Source organism: Homo sapiens, chromosome 7 (genome assembly GCF_000001405.40).
Source record: "Homo sapiens chromosome 7, GRCh38.p14 Primary Assembly".
Taxonomy (NCBI): Eukaryota; Metazoa; Chordata; class Mammalia; order Primates; family Hominidae; genus Homo; species Homo sapiens.
Window position 1 is genome coordinate 89198528 of NC_000007.14, and position 20385 is coordinate 89218912.

At 37.2% G+C, this 20385-nt stretch overlaps 1 protein-coding gene across 1 annotated transcript in view; it reads left to right on the plus strand.

Annotated features, from left to right (window-relative positions):
- The window catches only part of ZNF804B (zinc finger protein 804B), a 578829-nt gene that overhangs the window by 438828 nt on the left and 119616 nt on the right, over nt 1-20385 (plus strand). The window contains exon 2 of the mRNA NM_181646.5: nt 19628-19768. Within this exon, the coding sequence (NP_857597.1) occupies nt 19628-19768 (141 nt within the window). The remainder of the gene's footprint in view (nt 1-19627; nt 19769-20385) is intronic.

The following is a 20385-nucleotide window of genomic DNA, read 5'->3' on the forward strand; positions in this document are numbered from 1 at the left end:
AAAATAATGTGACCTTGAGGTTACCTGTCACTACTCAAGGAATATTTTCACTGTAAATGCAATAAAAGTTAATACATGTAATTACAGAGTGATTAAACATTATTTATTGTTCATCTTTGAGTAGATTTATCTGTTATAAATTGATAAAATTTTAAATAACTGCTTTTTTATAAAGTAGTAAGAATACAATAGAAAATATATAAAGCTTTCTATCAATAACAAAAACAAGTACAGAAAAACAAAAAACCTAGTCCATGTGTACTCCAGCCAAAGGCAGAAATCCAAAAGACACAGTAGCAAAAGGTCATGTCAGGATGCTAGCTCACCATCTGTAGCAGAAAGCAGAGCCTGTTTTCAGTAAGGAAAATGTATGTTTAATGCAAAGAACATTATTTCTAACAAGTAACTTATCGGGAATATGGAGCCATAAGGAGTTTAGAAGTAAAAAAGTCAGCAATAAAGGGCACTGGTGTCCCTAAAAGGCCATGATTAAGTGTCTGGCTGAGGCTTCTGCTTGCACAGGATTTTTTCTTCCCTCTCTTAGTTTGCAGCACAAAGACTGGCCCCACTGGAAGAAAAACTTGTTATCCATATAGTGTATCACTCAGTTGGGTACAGATAACTACATCTCTTCCTTGTGGGAAGAAATCCTTTTTATTAGGCTTTGTGGGCCCATTCTTTACTTACATTGTTTGGGTGCCAGTTATGGGAGGCCAGGCTTTCCCTTTCCCACTGGAGTCAGCATTCTTCAGGGCAATCCTCAAAACTCCTGCAAGACTCCATTCCCAAACCAGACTCTTCTACTCTAACCTGCCAATTTTTAAAAAATTATTACAGTACAGCACATTCAAATCTAATGTCATGTTTTTATATTGCTGTTAAAATCTGAAAAAGACAAAATAACCCAAAACAAAACTTAGGAAATATGAACAAATTAACAGCATAATAGAAATATAAGGCTTTTACTATACTAAGTATTTACTTGAATTGTTTCTATAATCAATATATTGGCCTGATGTGTTAGTTACACTTACACATTCATTTAACAGATGACAAAACAGATCAAATTGCTGAGTGCCCCACACCCATGAGAAACCGAAGCTCTGATTTAAACTCAGGCTGACTCCAGAACGATACTCCTAACCACAAGGATGTACTGCCTTTTCATTTTTAATAACTAGTTTCAAAACTCAGATGTTCCTAGATATTATTCCTACTGGCATCTTTCTATTTTTGTCACTTCCTCAGAATTTATGACATTTTATATACATATACACACATACATATACATATAAACATCCATATATGTGTGTGTGTATATATAATATATGTATACATTATATATGTAGTATATTATATAATATATGTATAATATATAGGTATATGTGTATATTATACAATATGTGTGTATATGTTATATATACACATATATAGATATAAATACATCTATAATATACATATATATATTTAAAAATGTATTTGTTCACCTTTGTGTGGTGCTCAGAACTGTGCCTTGTGCTTTTCATGTTTGAACTTATTTAATCATTAGAACCATTCTGTGAGAGTGATATTGTTATCCTCATTTTATAGAGGTTAAGTGATGCACTGAAGATCATTGAGTTTGCATATGGTTGAGCTTGGATTAAAAGACTTTTGTCCCAATCTCTGTACAACCCAAATGCTCTTTACTCTTAATTAGATGTAACATGCTTCCTTCGTTTCTCAAGTTTTATCTCTATTAGTTAACTATACATTATTTAATATAGGGACAATACCTTCCAAGTCATATACAATTCCTATAGCCCCTAACACAGTAAGAGTTTAATACATAGTTGGTGAATTTATTTCCACCCTTAGGATTCCTGTCCTGGTTTGTAGAATCTCCAGCTGAGATCATAAATCTCCTCTTAAATTTACTACAAATACTTAGACTCCTGAAAAATGTCTCATGACGACAAACTTCTTACCAAGGAGCACTGATGATTTTGATCAGACCCAGAGAATGTCAAGGTGAAGATTGATACAACAAAATATTGATGCCCATAGATGTAAATATTGTTGACCTTCCTATACTTTCAAGTTTCTACCAATAAATTTCAAATCATGAACAATCTTAGAAGAAATATGTCCCCCACTCCCACACAAATAGCCTTTGGCTAAAAAATTATCTAGGACTGAGGAAATCATTTATGGTTTCTTTCTTCTGTCCACCGCCAACATATGATTTTTAAATTGTACTTTACAGCACCGCAACCCTGATTCTTTCCTCCATTCATTTTCTTTTTTACCCTTTGGTCACAAGGGAAATCTGGATTCTTTTGCCCACCTGAGGCATCTGTTTTCTCTTTCTATCTCCATGTTTTCATCATACTTCTCATGTATGTTTTACTTCCCCTTTTTTCTTTCACTTGGCATTCCTCCCTACATGGGCATTCCAGTGTGAAACCATAGTGATATTCAGGCATGCAACTAATGAAGAGGCAGATTCTTATCTGAGCTTTTGCTGACACTCTTAGGGAAAGCTTCATCGTATTTATTTAGATTTTTTAAGATATAGTTGTTTCTTATCAATGAAAGTTATTTTTTTCATTTTATATTACAGAAGAGACATTTTCTACTAAAAAGAGTGTAAATGTTCCCTGCCATCACTGCAGTTTCACAGAATAGAGATTTGCTGATAAATATAACCACTAATGAGGACACAGATTCCAACCCAGAGTAGTAACAGAGCATGTAAGCTGACAAATTCCAGAATTAGGATTTTTTATAGCATAATGGACAGAAGCAAAAGATTCTATAGAAATCAATTTTTAAAATCACTTACTTGTGCTTTGACCAATTCGAAGTGAACTCAGGACATACAAAATGGAATAACAGACACTGGAGACTCCAAAAGTGTCAGCATTGGAAGGAGAGTGAGGGATGAAATATTACCTATTAGATATATTGTACACTACTTGGTTGATTGGTCCACCAAAAGCCGAGACTTCCAAGAAGCAGAAAGTCCAAGAAAGAAGTGCTGGGAAAATAATCAAAAGGAGCATGTAGTGGAATAATATGAAAAGGATCATAACTACTACCTAAGCTACTGGTCAGAAATAGTGACCAGCTGTAATAAAAGAGAAAATGGGAGATAGTAATAATATACTCTCTAAAGTTTGTATGACTTCCTCTTTATTAATACATGGAGTAAAATCTGTATCATTCTCATTACCAAATGTAGGTTTATTATTTCTCAGGAATACTTTGGTCACCTTCTTAAGCCCCAGAATTAAAAATCTCATCAAGTGTCATTCATTTCTTATATATCTAAGAGTCAAATTCAAGCCTATTAATTTAGACCCATTATAAAATTGTAACTTAATGAGGCTTATTCTGCTTAGGTATGTACCTGTGTTCCAGAGCAGCATGACTATTTCCTTTCTCTAAATACACACAGTACTTTAAATGCCTAACATACGATTTTGTACCCTTTATGTTGTCCTTTGTATCTTATGAATTAATCCTATCCTTGCAGGTGGTCTGTGAGTTTCTTGAAAATAGGGATTGTGTATTATTATCATGCACAGTAAAATGGCACAGTAACTCATCCAAGCATTCATATCATAACTAAATCCCTACCCTAAACCAGGCTCTTTCAAGAGCACCATAGAAATGTGAAGACAATTTTAAAAATAATTTTAGGTGTGAATTCTTTTATCTTTTGATTTGATGTTTTCCTTTCATGTTAGACATCCCTCCTATATCAGAGAAAGGTGTAGCTTCCTCCTTTCTAAAACCAGTTTTTAGAACTGGCTAAGTTCAGTGCTGAATTTATTATAGCTACAACTAGTGATCTATGGACTAGCAAAACTCTAAATGCATTTTTTAAAGCTTAGGGGGATAAAGGAAAGAGGAGGTCTCTATTGGGGATGATTCTGTCTTCTCTAGGAGATGGCTTGAAACAGAAAACTTTTATCTATGGCATCCCAAGAATATGAATGTTATTTCTAAATATGTTGTTAAATAGACTTTGATTTTGATTACATGGTTTGAAGAAAGAAAAAAATTCTACATCTACATTTTAAAGATTCCAGAGATCCATGTATATGTCTTGAGTTTTAGAGACACAAAAATTCTATTCCTTAGACCAACCTCATTTTCCAGATGAGGAAATAGACCCTCCTGAATTAATTGCTCTGCCATTGGTCTCAAAGACAGGAGTCAGGACTTGAATTCTCATTCCAGATCTGCTATTTATCATCTTGCATAAACGTTTGACAAGCCAAAGAACTTTTCCTGGATTAATTTTCTTAAAAGATTGTGGAGATTGCTTCCAATTACCTACCTGTGTGATTATTCTAACTTTCTATTTTACTTTTTTACAATGGGCCCACAACTTCTATTCGTATTGTAGCTACAATAGACGTATTGTAGCTAGACGTATTCTAGACGTATTGTAGCTACAATACGTCTCTTTTTAGACTAGTTCTCTACACAGCACACACACACACATACACACACATGTACATACTCACACAAATGCACATACAGAATAGATTGGAGCCCAACTCAGTATGGCTTGTTGAGTTGACACCAGTGGTAACAGTAAGTATGGATTCTCCAAGAGCTGAAGCAGCTGTGACAATCTTGGACAAATGTAGGCTGTTTGCCACAGTATGGGTGGGCTACACCATCAGCGCTGCCATTAGAATACAGATAAACATTGGCCCCAGTTTCCAGATAATTAGGCTTTCTGACTCCAGCTCACAAGCATTTTTAGTTAGTTCTCATAAATGCAGGTATATGTGCATAAACTGATGTACAGAACTTCTTTTTGAGGTTTTCTGACGTCACTTATCCAAGTTTTGCAGTTGTATGCGAAGACTATTTAATAGACAAGCATAAGTAGTTTATAGCGGCTCTTTTGGCCCTTGTAAATATCTTTCTCTCAAAGTAAACTAGCATTTTTTAAATTTTTTTCTCACTTTGGCACATTTTCTCAGCTTAAAGTTAGTATTTTAGATTTAAGACATAGAGCTTCTGTAAAGCATAATTTTTTTCACAATTTCTAGTATTCTCTAAGTTTGAAATTAAATTACCCACTAGAATTTCAACAGATAGAAGCCTGGAGCCGCCAGTTTGAAATAATGGTGTGCCTTTGTGAACACAATCACTTTTTAAACATCTCTGGTACAGAACAAGTAAACCAAGCAGCAGACTTATTATTAGACATAATAGCAGACGTTCAGGAGAATAGAGAGATGTCCTTGGTGTTTTGTAATTCATCTGACTTGCTTTTTCTTAAAAGCAAAGCCATTGGCTTTATACTATTTTAATATGTCATCTTAGGAGTTTGCAGGCCTGTGTTTAGCACATGTAGAACATAAACACAGCAGAGATTAATACCAGAACAATTTAAGAAGTTCAGAGGAGGAAATCTTACTTGAAATTCACTGAATCTATTTGAAGGGAACATATTTGCAATCAATTCCCAAGGAAAGGTGAAGCAGTGGCTAGATCAGCATTGTTTAATGGTCATTTCTCTCATAGATGACTCTCACAAATTTTAAATTAAAAGAAAAATGGTTTGTAACTGAGCAGGTATCACTAGCAACTTTCCAGAAAACTTAGTTGTCCAACGTTTTTCATTGACTTTTCTTATATTAGAAAATGAAATGTCAGATGCTATTAATTGCATTTTTACAATAAGTAGCTACATCAGGAGTAATGGCTAAACGAAAGTACTTCCTGTCTAATGCACAATAGATATATTCATTTAAATGTATTCAATTTAGATGAATGCAATATGTCTATATTCATTACAGTTATACCTACCTGTGGGCTGAATTGATGAGGTGGTAATTACTACCTTTATAAATGGAACAGCATTGTGAGTCTGGAGGAAGAAAACTCATTTTCTTATCATGTTTCACACACCCACACAGTAGACACATTCCAAAATCTTTCTTCCAATCATAAAGATTTTACCCTTGAATTTCCAGTGGACCTAATGATTGTAAACATGATCACTCAGTAGGTCCTGCTTTTCCGGAGGGTTGCAAAGGGTTGGTCTCATGGGATATGATGGAGGGGAACTGAGAGTCTCAAAATCTCTTCATGCAAAGTAAGTCTCATGTTTGTTATTCTGCATGCCTGCAGTGCAGCTGTAGTCATCATGTGGCATGGATTTGATTATTCTTATACCATACATTGTTTTCTGAGTTCAATGAAGGTAGGACTATTAAAATGTGACTTTGTTGAATACTTTTATTTTTAGAACACTGTTCTAAAAATATAGTCTGCTAATTAGAAAAAGCAAGTACACATAGTTCCTATACACTCTGCCCAACCCTAAATAGTTTCTCTTATTATTATTTGGCATTGTGTGGTGAGTTAGTGTATTAGACTGTTCTTATGCTGCTAACAAAGACATACCCAAGACTGGATGATTTATAAAGGAAAGAGGCTTAATTGACTCACAGGTCCACATGGCTGGGGAGACCTCACAATCATGACGAAAGGCGAATGAGGAGCAAGGTCATGTCTTACATGGCAGCAGGCAAGAGCGCATGTGCAGGAGAACTCCCATTTATAAAACCATCTGATCTCATAATTTATATTCACTATCACGAGAACAGCACAGGAAAAACCTACCCTCCATGATTCAATCACCTCCCACCAGGTCCCTCCAATGACACATGGGGATTATTATAATTCAAGGTGAGATTTGGGTGGGGACACAGAGCCAAACTATATCATTCTGCCCCTGGTTCCTCCCAAATCTCATGTCCTCACATTTCAAAACCAATTATGCCTTCCACTGCCCCTCAAAGTCTTAACTCATTCCAGCATTAACCCAAAAGTTCAAATCCAAAGTCTCATCTGAGAAAAGGCAAGTCCCTTTCACCTATGATCCTGTAAAATCAAAAGCAACTTAGTTACTTCCTAGATACAAAGTGGGTACAGGCAATGGTTAAATACATTCATTCCAAATGGGAGAAATTGGAGAAAACAAAGGGGGTTTAGGCCCCATGCAAGTCCAAAATCCAGTGGGGCTGTCAAATCTTAAAGCTCCAAAATGATCTCCTTTGACCTCATGTCTCACATCCAGGTCACAGTGATGCCAAAGGTGGGTTCCCATGATCTTGGGCAGCTCCTTCCCTGTGACTTTGCAGGGTACATTCCCCCTCCTGGCTGTTTTCATGGGCAGACATTGAGTGTCTGCAGCTTTTCCAGGCACACAGTGCAAGCTGTTGGTGGATCTACTATTCTGGGGTCTGGAGGATGGTGGCCCTCTTCTCACAGCTCCACTAGGCAGTTTCCCAGTGGGGATTCTATGTGGGGGGCTCAAATCCCACATTTCCCTTCTTCATTGCCCTAGCAGAGGTTCTCCACAAGGCCCCACCCCTGCAGCAAACTTCTACCTGGACATACAGGCATTTCCATACATCCTCTGAAATCTAGGCGGAGGTTCCCAAATCTCAATTCTTGACTTCTGTGCATCTGCAGGCTTAATACCACGTGGAAGCTGCCAAGGCTTGGGGCTTACACCCTCTAAAGCCATGACCTGAGCTGTACTTTGTCCACTTTTAGCCATGGCTGGAGCAGCTGGGACACAAGACACCAAGTCCCAAGACTGCACACTGGAAGAGGGGCTTGGGCCCGGCCCATAAAACCATTTTTCCCTCCTAGGTCTTTGGGCCTGTGATGAGAGGGGCTGCCATGAAGGTATCTGACATGCCCTGGAGAGGTTTTTCCCATGGCTTGGCGATTAACATTTTGCATCTCATTACTTATGCAAATTTCTGCAGCCAGCTTGAATTTCTTCCCAGAAAATGGGGTTTTATTTTCTATTGAATTATCAGGCTGCAAATTTTCTGAACTTTTATGCTTTGCTTCCCTTGTAAACATAAGCTCCATTTCCAAACTATGTATTTGTGAATACATAAAACTGAATGCTGGCCAGGCACGGTGGCTCATGCCTGTAATCCCAACGCTTTGGGAGGCCGAGGAGAGTGGATCACCTGAGGTCAGGAGTTCGAGACCAGCCTGGCCAATGTGGTGAAACCCTGTCTCTACTAAAAATACAAAAATTAGTCAGGCATGGTGGCTGGTGCCTGTGATCCTAGCTACTCAGGAGGCTGAGGCAGGAGAATTGCTTGAACCCAGGAGGTGGAAGTTGCAGTGAGCTGAGATCACGCCATTGCACTCCAGCCTGGGTCACAAGAACAAAACTCCATCTCAAAAAACAAAACAAAAAACAAACAAACCCACAAAAATGAATACTTTTAACAGCACCCAAGTCAGCTTTTGAATGGGTTGCTGCTTAGAAATTTCTTCTGCCAGATGCCCTAAATCATCTCTCTCAAGTTCAAAGTTTCACAAATCCCTATGGCAGGAGCAAAGTGCTGCCAGTCTCTTTGCTAAAACATAACAAGAGTCACCATTGCTCCAGTTCCCAATGAGTTCCTCATCTCCATCTGAGACCCTCAGCCTGGGCTTTATTGTCCATGTTGCTGTCAGCATTTTGGTCAAAGCCATTCAACAAGTCTCTAGAAAGTTCCATACTTTCCCATATTTTCCTGTTTTCTTCTGAGCCCTCCAAATTATTTGAACTTCTGCCTGTTACCCAGTTCCAAAGTGGCCTCCACATTTTTGGGTATCTTTACAGCAGCACCCCACTCTACTAGTACCAGTTTACTGTATTAGTCTGCTATCATGCTGCTAATAAAGACATACCTAAGACTGGGTAATTTACAGAGGAAAGCAGTTTAATTGACTCACAGTTCCACATGGCTGGGGAGGCCTCACAATCATGACAGGAGGTTAATGAGGAGCAAGGTCACATCTCACATGCCTGCAGGCAAGAGGGCATGTTCAGGGGAACTCCCTTTTATAAAACCATCAGATCTCATGAGACTTATTCACTATCATGAGAACAGCACAGGAAAAAACCCACCCCCAGTGACTTGATTACTTCCCACTGAGTCCCTCCCATGATACATGGGGATTATTACAATTCAAGGTGAGATTTGGGTGGGGACATAGAGCCAAACAATATCAGTTAGTATATTGTAGTTGATGAACCCGTATTTATACATTATTATTAGCAAAATCTACAGTTTACATTAAGACTCAGTCTTTGTGTTTTACAGTTATATGAGTTTTTATACCACCATATATATTTCAGGAATTCCAGTTCTCTCCCCTTTAGCATATTAAATAACTGGATAAAAATAAATCAATCAATCAGTCAAATGTATTCGTTCTTTCAGTCACTACATTTATTAATTCATGTATTCTTTAATAGACATTTGGTAAACATAAACTCTAGGTCAAGAATTCACTGTAATTTAATTGCTTCAAGCGTTTTCCCGACTCAGGCTTAATATGCATATTTTTTAGTCACTCTTTTTCCTTCCTCACTCAAGGATATTGTCTGATTTTACTGGTGAGCGCTGATATGTTCTGTATTAGAGAAACTGATAGTCTTTCCATTTTGGTGGGCTAATACTGCGTTGTGTCAGCAAAAGTTCATTGGTTTATGTGTGTTATATTTACTATTTTATTGGGTTTTTTTTTTTTTTTTTGAGACAGAGTCTCTCTCTGTCGTCCAGGCTGGAGTGCAGTGGCACAATCTCGGCTCACTGCAAGCTCTGCCTCCCAGGTTCATGCCGTTCTCCTGCCTCAGCCTCCCGAGTAGCTGGGACTACAGGTGCCAGCCACCACGCCTGGCTAATTTTTTTGTATTTTTAATAGAGACGGTGTTTCACCATGTTAGCCAGGATGGTCTCAATCTCCTGACCTCGTGATCCACCCGCCTTGGCCTCCCAGAGTGCTGGGATTACAGGCATGAGCCACCGCGCCTAGCCCTGTTTTATTGGTTGTTAAGCAACTCTGCAAAACAATCTACAGCCTTTATAAACTTGTGCAATGTAGCATCTGTATCTGATCATTAAGAAATCTGGAAATTATATCTTCCCTCTTTTTCCTTCCATTAGACAGATAAGCATGATTAAGCGATTAAGCAATAAAGCAGTAGCTGCTGTTATGATTATCTTTGGATTCACCTGCACTTCCTTATTTCCTTTCTAACTTGTTTTTCTGGTGGAGGAACTGTATATTAATTCATGCTGAGGAAGATGAAATTGGTGGTGGCCAACGTTGATAACTGTGGTCCTAACAGAAATGCATGTGTTCCTAAAAAATAATCCCTGTTTAGACTGGGCACGGTGGCTCACGCCTGTAATCCCAGCACTTTGAGAGGCCGAGGTGGGTGGATCACAAGGTCAGGAGATCGAGACCATCCTGGCTAACACGGTGAAACCCCGTCTGTACTGAAAATACAAAAAATTAGCCGGGCGAGCTGGCAGGCCCGTGTAGTACCAGCTATTCGGGAGGCTGAGGCAGGAGAATCACTTGAACCTGGGAGGCGGAGCTTGCAGTGAGCTGAGATCGCGCCACTGCACTCCAGCCTGGGCGACAGAGTGAGACTCTTTCTCAAAAAAATAAAATAATAATAATAATAATAATCCCTGTTCAATTGCAGTCAGTTAAGAAACATCTCCAAAATAGGCAATTATTTAAGCAAACTTTAAATATTTAATTGTTTCTTCATGTACAGAAATGTAGTCAACAGTCTGGCATCCTGCCTGTAAGTCAGAAATTTGTCATTCTTTCCAAATTAGAAACAATGCTGAGTTGTCCCTAGGGAACGCCACCGAGAGACAATTTCACATGTTTAATGTGCTTTTATTTATCTTTTAATGTGGGCATCTTTGATGAATCATTAATAGGAGGAGAAAAAAATCCCTTTCAAAACTAGTTAGTGGCTGACATCACACCTTACCTGGGCATTGATGGAAAAGTCAAATTTTGTTTATGTCTCATTCCAAGTCTGGCTAATGGATAGTTGGTTCACACTGAACTATAAGAAAAACAATTGATTATGGTAAAATGGGAACAGCATTGGAAAACAAGAATCTGCAGTTCTGATTATGGATTTGTGTGCAATTGCCACTCTCCATTACTTTAGGAAAACTCTTCAATATGCAACATAGATCTCAGAATCTACATAAAAAAGATTGTTCTAAAAGTCTAAAACTACCATGTGTTTGGAATTATACTTACCTACCTACTCTAACATTATTCCAACAGTCTAATTCTCCGTGATATGAATTGTGTTGCCAGGGTAGGCCATACTGTCTATGTGTGTAAGAGAAAAGCATTCTCTGCCTTTTTATTATTATTATTAATTTCACTTTTCAATAAATAGTTACTGAGTTTTTCTAAGTAATAAGTACCATGTTAGATGTTGTGGAATGCAAAGACTATCCTTTTTACAAAAGAAGTCAATCAGCCCAGCACGGTGGCTCACACCTGTAATCTCAACACTTTGGGAGGCTGAGGCAGGTGGATCACCTGAGGTCAGGAGTTCTAGAACAGCCTGGTCAACATGGTGAAACCCCATCTCTACTAAAAATACAAAAATTAGCTGAGCGTGGTGGCATGCACCTGTAGTCCCAGCTACTCAGGAGGCTGAGGCAGGAGAATCGCTTGAACCGGGAAGCAGAGGTTTTAGTGAGCTGAGATCATGCCACTGTACCCCAGCCTGGGTGAGAGTGAGACTTCATATCAAAAAAAAAAAAAGAAAGAAATCAATCATAACTTTGGAGAAATCAACATTAGTAATATTAATGTTAATTAAGTACATATTATGCTCTCTTGACTATGTTTGGAATTCTTAAATAGGTAAAAGTAAAAAAAACAGAGATTAAAAACTCCTGAAAACCCTAATTATGCAAAGAAAATTAAATTTGCTAGCTTTATTTTTATTTTTATTTTACGTTCCTGGGTACATGCGCAGGATGTGCAGGTTTGTTACATAGGTAAACGTGTGCCATGGTGGTTTGCTGCACCTATTAACCCATCACCTAGGTATTAAGCCCAGCATACATCAGCTGTTTATCCTAATGCACTCCCATCCCCCACCCAACCCCTGGAGAAGCCCCAGTATGTGTTGCTCTCCTCCCTGTGTCCATGTGTTCTCATCATTCAGCTCCCACTTATAAGTAAGAACATGTGACATTTGGTTTTCTGTTCCTGCATTAGTTTGCTGAGGATAATGGCTTCCACTCCATCCATGTCCCTGCAAAGGACATGATCTCATTCATTTTCATGGCTGCATAGTATTCCATGGTGTCTATGTACCACATTTTCTTTATCCAGTCTATCACTGATGGGCATTTGAGTTGATTCCATGTCTTTGCGATTGTGAATAGTGCTGCAATGAACATGGTATGCGTGTATTTCTGTAATAGAATGACTTATATTCCTTTGGGTATATACCCAGTAATGGGATTGCTGGATCAAATGGTATTTCTAGTTCTAGATCTTTGATGAATTACTACACTGTTTTCCACAATGGTTGCTAATTTACATTCCCACCAACAGTGTAAAAGTATTCCTATTTCTCTGCAACCTTGACAGCAACTGTTGTTTCTTGACTTTTTAAGCATCTCCATTCTGACTGGTGAGAGATGGTATTTCATTGTGGTTTTGACTTGCATTTCTCTAATGATCAGTGATGTTGAGCTTTCATTCATATGTTTATTGGCCACATGAATGTCTTCTTTTGAGGAGTGTCTGTTCATGCCCTTTGCCCACTTTTTAATAGGGTTGTTTGTTTTTTTCTTGTTAATTCGTTTAAGTTATTTGTAGATTCTGGATATTAGACTTTTGTCAGATGGATAGATTGCAAAAATTTTCTCCCACTCTTTAGGCTGCCTGTTTTCTCTGATGATAGTGGGTTTTTTGTTGTTGTTGTTGTTTGTTTGTTTGCTGTGCAGAAGCTCTCTGATTAGATCCCATTTGTCAATTTTTGCTTTTGTTGCAATTGTTTTTGGCAATTTCATCATGAAATCTTTGCCTGTGCCTGTGTCTTGAATGCTATTGCCTAGATTTTCTTCTAGGATTTTTGTTGTTTTGGGTTTTATATATAAGTCCTTAATCCATATTGAGTTAATTTTTGTATAAGGTGAAAGGAAGGGGTCCAGTTTCAATTTTCTGCATATGGCTGGCCAGTTCTCCCAGTCCTTTCCCAATTACTTGTTTTTGTCAGGTTCATTGAAGATCAGATGGTTGTAGATTTGTGGTCTTATTTCTGAGTTCTCTATTCTGTTCCATGGGTCTATGTGCCTGTTTTTATACCAGTACCATACTGTTTTGGTTACTGTAGCCTTGTAGTATACTTTGAAGTCCAGTAGCATGATGACTCCAGCTTTGTTCTTTTAGCTTAGGATTGTCATTGCTACACAAGCTCTTTTTTGAATCTATATGAATTTTACAATAGTTTCTTCTAATTCTGTGAAGAATGTCCATGGTAGTTTAATGGGAACAGCACTGAATTTGTAAATTACTTTGAGCAGTATGGCCATTTTCATGACATTGATTTTTCCTATCCATGAGCATGGAATGTTTTTCCATTTGTTTGTGTCCTCTCTGAGTTACTTGACCAGTGGTTTGTAGTCCTCCTTGAAGAGGTCCCTCACTTCCCTTGTTAGCTGTATTCCTAGGTATTTTATTCTCTTTGTAAATTTGCTAGCTTTGTATGAGATAGTGGACTAAAGGTGATAAAAATTCCTCTCACCTGCCCAAATTTCCATCAGGAATTTGCTTTGTAGACTCAGGGGAAAATAGTATTTTGTGAAAAATAATTTTATAGTGTCACATGCATTCAGTGATACACACACACACACACACACACACACACACACACACAAACAGACTGCAGAACATCCAAACATTGAGTACCTATATAGGGGAAGAAAAATAATTTTCTTCTTCTCAAGCGTTCTGCTGTGACTTCCTGTAACAAAAGACAAATTAACAAGATAAGAAACAGAAGTTTGATAACATGTATACCTCTTGTGCACATGGGAGATAACCTGGAGAAATAAATAAACTTATAGACTAAATTTCAAACAATTGTCTTAGACTTCAGGCTTAAATATCATCATTCTCCAAAACAAAGAAGTACGCAGTGAAAGGTAAGGTAAGTACGCAGTGAAAGGTCAGGTTAAGACCCATGAAAAGTGCTACTACAAAACAGGAAAGTGTTTGTTATGCAGATTTAAATCTATGCCTTTTCCATTGATTAAGAGTCTCTAGTAATTTAGAGCTAGCCCTCTCTTAGGTTGTCTTAGGTGTCTTAGGAGACACCTTTACAAGTAAAGATTTCCTTTATAGGTGTAAATTTATCTAGAAAAGGGTAGGTAACTTTTCAAACCTTCTCCTGTGTCTATAATTTCTTAAAATAACTAGTTCACAATTATCCTTATGCTAAGGAGGCATACTGGAGTGGCATAGTTAGGTTTCCTACAGTCATATTTTGGGGTGGCATATTCTGAGCCCCATCACCTATATTTGCCATGTGGTATACTTAGTACTTCCCTAAAAATTATCCAATTTTTTCTTCACAACAATCTTGTAAGCTACTTATTATTATCCCCCTTAATCTATTCTGAGATAACTGAAACCTGTAGAGTTTGAACTTCTGTAAGACAGAGGCTGACATTCAAGCTAGTCAGGTCTCAAAGACAAAGATTTTTTTTTCCTATTATAAAAACAGAATAAATAAGTAAATGAAACCTCCAAAGCAAGTTTTCTGTTATCCAAGCTGTTACAGAGATGCAGAAAGATGATGGATGCCAAAAGAGTGTTCTGACTCAGCAGCAGCCACTTGATTGGAAGAGGGGAAAATTCACTCTCTTTGAAGTAGGATTTCATTTGGGGCTAATATAATAGAACGAGTTAGAGAATATTAGAATTCTTAAAGCAATCTCTTACACATAACAGTGAAGGGTCAAATGTGGGCTTTCATGCAAAGAATATGAATTCAATTCTCACAGCTCTGTGCTGGTATTACCCATAAGGAGCTATGAAGAACAGCAATTGATTTCTTCCCTTTCTTTTCCATAATCAGAGCACATATTCACAACCAATGCAACAAGACTACTACCTTGCATTTTCCTAGTACCCATCTCTCAGCTTCAAGAGCATTATGCATTTTTAAAATTATAATTAGTTCTCTCACTCTTCCTGGGAGTTAACTGCTCCATATCATCCCAAACCCACAAATGAGTTAGCGGAGACAGCCTGGAGTTATATGGCATCTGGATAAATGCTTAGCAATTGGAACAGCCTTGAGTATGGTGAATCACGCCTCTGAAGTCAGGCAGATCTGAGCTTTAATCCAGTGAATGAATTTCTAAACATGTTTGTGCCTTATTTTCCATATCTTTAAATGAGATAATAATAGAACATACTTCATAGGGTTATTGTGAAGATTAAGTGGGTGAACAAGTGTGAAGTGCTTGGCACATTTCTAGTTTACAATGTAGTTCATGAGGAGTTAATGTGTAATAATTACAATAATAGTAACAATTTGATAGCAAACATTCATATTTCTAAGTGCATTACTCTAGTCAACACTAGCCACTTTAAAAAACATACGTGTTTTACGCATTAATGTAAAATTTTTGGTGTGAAAAAGTACATATTCTCTCCTTGTACCCAAAACATTAATTATAAAAAGTAATTAAATACTACAGAATTCATACTGAATGACAACAAAAAATGCCCATTGGCATTACCGAATGTTTTAAAAATGACTCTTGTTAAGATAACTGTCATATTCAATATTCAATTTGTAATTTATTTTCAACCTTTAATGAATCATTGAGAGTGATTAACAAGAAGCTTTCTTTTATGTCATACATTTTTTTTCTGTCAGATAAGCTTTCAAAACCTCTTCCTCTAGGCAAACTGTAAGAAGGGAAATTTAAATAACTGGCAAATGAATGAATTCATTATATATCAAATCTTGTATCTATAATTCTTTCTTTATTTTAAAACTTTACTGATACTGAGAATAGGTCATCATTTTTTACTCCTTTCATATATGACACTTCATCTCTAAATATATTTAAAGATTGTGTAATTATTTCAGAGAGTAAATCGTCTTATTTACCTTCAGGCCTATTTTTTCAGTAAAAGTATCCTGTCATTCAACAAAAAGCCAAGAAATAGTGTGTGCTAATAATGTGTATATAATGCTATGTGAGAGAGACATTAACTTCTAATTATTCTTAAGTAGTCTGATCTAGGTAACCCTTAATAGCAATTTGTGATTATCACTCTATCACAACTTATAGTTTTTACCTCTTTACATGTAATTCTTTCCCATTAAACTGTAAACTAATGAGTGTAAGACCCAGTAAGAAATTGACATTTAGAAGTTGCTAAATAAGAGATTCTTGAATATATGAATACTTAATAAACAGTTGAATGAATGGATGGTTACATGTGTGGATAGATCGTTGGATGGATGAGGTAGCATGGAGACAGTGAAAAGCATGCCCCCCTTTACCATTACCTAGCCATTAGATTTTATACAAAACATGAAATTACTAAATATCAGTTGCCTCTTTTGAAAAATAATAGAGATTTCTATCCTTATAATTCAGTCTATGTTTGTATGTTTTGTGGTAGAATTTATACTCCTCCTGTTCACTCTTTCTCTCTTAATAAAGAGGCCAGAATATGCCCTGGAGATTGTCATTAGCACCTTAGAGGTAAGAAAGATAAGAATATCTGCATAATTTCCTGGCAAGAATAATGAAGCAAGAAATGTGATATGTAGTTTAGTCTAACGACCTTGTAAAATATAAGTGTTCAGAAAAAGATGGTATTAAACTTAAATTTTGGTGAAGCTGTCTTAAAATTGTAAAATTTTGAATTAAGAATCATCAATATGATACTTAAAGAACGTTTTAGAAATATAGAATGTTTAGATGAAGGTAAACATTCACTCTTGACCATTGAACTACTGTCATAAAATCACCTACATAATCTGAAAGAATATAAAAATACATTTTTAGCCTCAAATCTATCCTGAATTTTCAGTTGTTCCCCTACACCAGCTCATGAGGCTAAGGTATTTTTGAGCACTAAGGCAGTGTTGACCAATGTCTAAGAACATTGTCAGTTTTCTAAGGCTGCTGTCATAAGGAAGAAAGAAGAACTATGATTAGGCCGGGGGCGGTGGCTCGCGCCTGTAATCCTAGCACTTTGGGAAGCCGAGGCGGGCGCATCACGAGGTCCGGAGATCAAGACCATCCTGGCTAACACGGTGAAATCCCGCCTCTACTAAAAATACAAAAAATTAGCCGGGCGTGGCAGCGGGCTCCTGTAGTGCAAGCTACTGCGGGAGGCTGAGGCAGGAGAATGGCGTGAAAACGGGAGGTGGAGCTTACAGTCAGCCGAGATCACGCCACTGCACTCCAGCCTGGGCAACAGAGAGAGACTCCGTCTCTAAATAAATAAATAAATAAATAAATAAATAAATAAATAAATAAATAAGAACTATGATTAAAACAAAGGAATCCCTAGTTTCAATCCAGTCCCTGTGATTATACTAAGAAAGGACATGAAAAATAAATAAATAAATACCGGCTGGGCGTAGTGGCTCACGCCTATAATGCCAGTGCTTTGGGAGGCCGCGGCAGGTGGATCATCTGAGGTGAGGAGTTTGAGACCAGCCTAGCTAACATGGTGAAACCCCGTCTCTACTAAAAATACAAAAAAACGTAGCTGGGCGCGGTGGCGCGCGCCTATAATCCCAGCTGCTGGAGGGGCTGAGACGGGAGAATCGCTTGAACTCCGGGAGGGGGAGGTCGCGGTGAGCCGAGATCGCGCCATTGCACTCCAGCCTGCACGACAGAGTGAAACTCCATCTCAAAAAAAGAAAAATAACTTAGTGAGAAAGAGTGGAGAAATAATGGTTTCCCTTGATTCTAAGTCTACTAAATCAAGGGATTTAGCACCATCTCAATGCTGTATTCCCGTCTCACTTCTCAATAGTGATTGTATCAGCTGGCAATTTTCCTAGTTCTTTCAACAACTGGGTTTTGACCTTGAAATCAGTCTCCATTCTCATTACTGGCTACAGCCTGTCCACTAATTTTTTATATCCTCCATTATTCTAGAATGTAACCAAATTCTTACTTTAACTCTCTTAGGTAGGCAATCCATATACTTGGTCTAGTTGTGCTGTTAGTTAATGGTATCATTCCCTTCTTTCTTTTTGCCATGTGTTTTACCCTCTTATATTTGGGCTTAAATCATTATGTTACACACGTCTAAATTAATTGTCCCATTACTTCACCCCATTCTGAAAATATGCGTAAATTATTTCTGCTTACTTTCTTTTCTGGTCAGCTATTTGCCTATGATGTACACTTATGACCCGATTTCTTTCTATTGAGGGTAGTCGTTTTGGAGAAACAAAGATAAAATCCATTCTTTAGTTTGTTCATTCATTCTTTATACATATTTACTTGGTATTCTCAAAGTGCCAGTCACTCTTTTATTTGGTATTGGGATAATAGAGCAGAAGTTATAGAATGGTATGAGGCATAAATATATAAACCATGATTATCCATTAATTTGCGTAGTGCATATTAAGTAGCACATATTCTGGGCTAGACAACATGTTGTTTAGTATTGTGTAACAAAAATGAATAAAATAGCTTCTTCCCTCAAAAAATTGGTGGAATAAATAGACATGAAAACAGATAATTTAATGCTATGTGACATATCTGGTAATAGAATTAAAGAGGAAAATATAGAAGCAGGGTTTGATAAAATATGATACAGGCAAGGTAAGAAGTTTTTCTGGTATATTGAGAAGGTTGGCTTTAAAGGAATATAGCAAATCACAGCTGTTTACTAACAAAGGAGCCAGGCATAGGTTGTTTGAATTCAAATTCCTTCTCCGCTTGTTAACTTGGAGCCCATGAGTGTGTAATCTCTCTAAGCACTGGTTGATGCATCTATAATGCAGACTAAAATAGAACCTTACTCATAGGGTTGTTGTGAGGAATGATGAGATAATTCATACACCTTGTGCATAGTTTATACTCAGTAAACATTTGCCACTATTATTCTATAATCAAAGAGATTCTATAATCAAAAGAGGATTTTAAGCAGGAGAATTATGTAGCCAAAACTGTTTTAAGTGGAGCATACTACAAATTTTCAGGAGAATATTTTGAAGAACATGGACATAAACCCATTGGTAATGTGCAGCAGGAACTGATGCTTGTGGAGGAGGCTTTGGCAATGTTGAACATAATGGATACATCAGGCTCTATCTATAGTGTGAATGGGGACACCCATGGGAGAGCATATGAAATGGATAAATCATTTGGCTGAAGATAGAATTGCATAGGACACTAAAATTTAAGGGATAATATCAGAAAAACAGAGGGCTATGGAGGATATAAAGAAGAATGGCCAGTGATGTGCTTGGTAATAGGCACAATCACAACCTAGAAATGGGTGGCAAGAAGAAGGATGAGGAAAAACCAAGCTCCAGACCAGGGCTACTTTAGAAATCATGATATGTCAGTTGATAAGTTAGGGATGATGCAAAACTAAAAGTTATTCTCACAGTGTCATGAATTCCCAGAAAACAATGTGCTCCGTCATATTTCTTTAAGTTAAATACCACCTTGATTAATACGAGATCTGGTTATGCTATTAGAGAGAAGTCTAACCAACATTTATGTATTTTTTCTTAAAGGATTTTGCAGAAAAGAAGTCCACAGCAAAGGCCCTGGAAGATGTAAAGGCAAACTTTTACTGTGAATTATGTGACAAGCAGTATCACAAACACCAGGAGTTTGACAATCATATTAATTCTTATGACCATGCTCATAAGCAGGTAAGGCAAAGTGGGAAAAGTCCTTCATATTCCTGTATTTATACCTTCAGAACAGAACTGTATGAATTTGACCTTATTTACTGCCATATAAGACTGTGAGGTAAGAACATTTTATGTCTTTTTTCCCCCCTGGAAAGGTTGTGTTTTGTGTTTAAATGTTATCCAAAGTCATTTTTTCCTAGAACTACTATAAAGCTGGAGGTAAACTTAGAGATAATCTGAGAGTAGACTGACATATTTATTTTAGAATTATATTCAGTTAACCCTTAAACAACACAGTGGTTAGGAATGTCAGTCAAAAATCCACATATAACTTTTGCAGTTAAAAATCTGCATATGATTTTTAATTCCCTCAGAAATTTACTAATAGCCTACTGTTGACCAGGAAGAAGTTTACTGTAACATAAACAATCCATTAATGCATGTTTTATATATGTTACATGTATTATATACTATATTATTACAATAAAGTAAGCCAGAGAAAAGAAAATGTTATTAAGAAAATAAGGAATAGAAAATATTGTTACTATTCATTAAGTGGAAGTGGATCATCATAAAGGTCTTCATCTTCATTGTCTTCATGATGAGTAGGCTGGGGAGGAAGAGAAAGAGGAGGA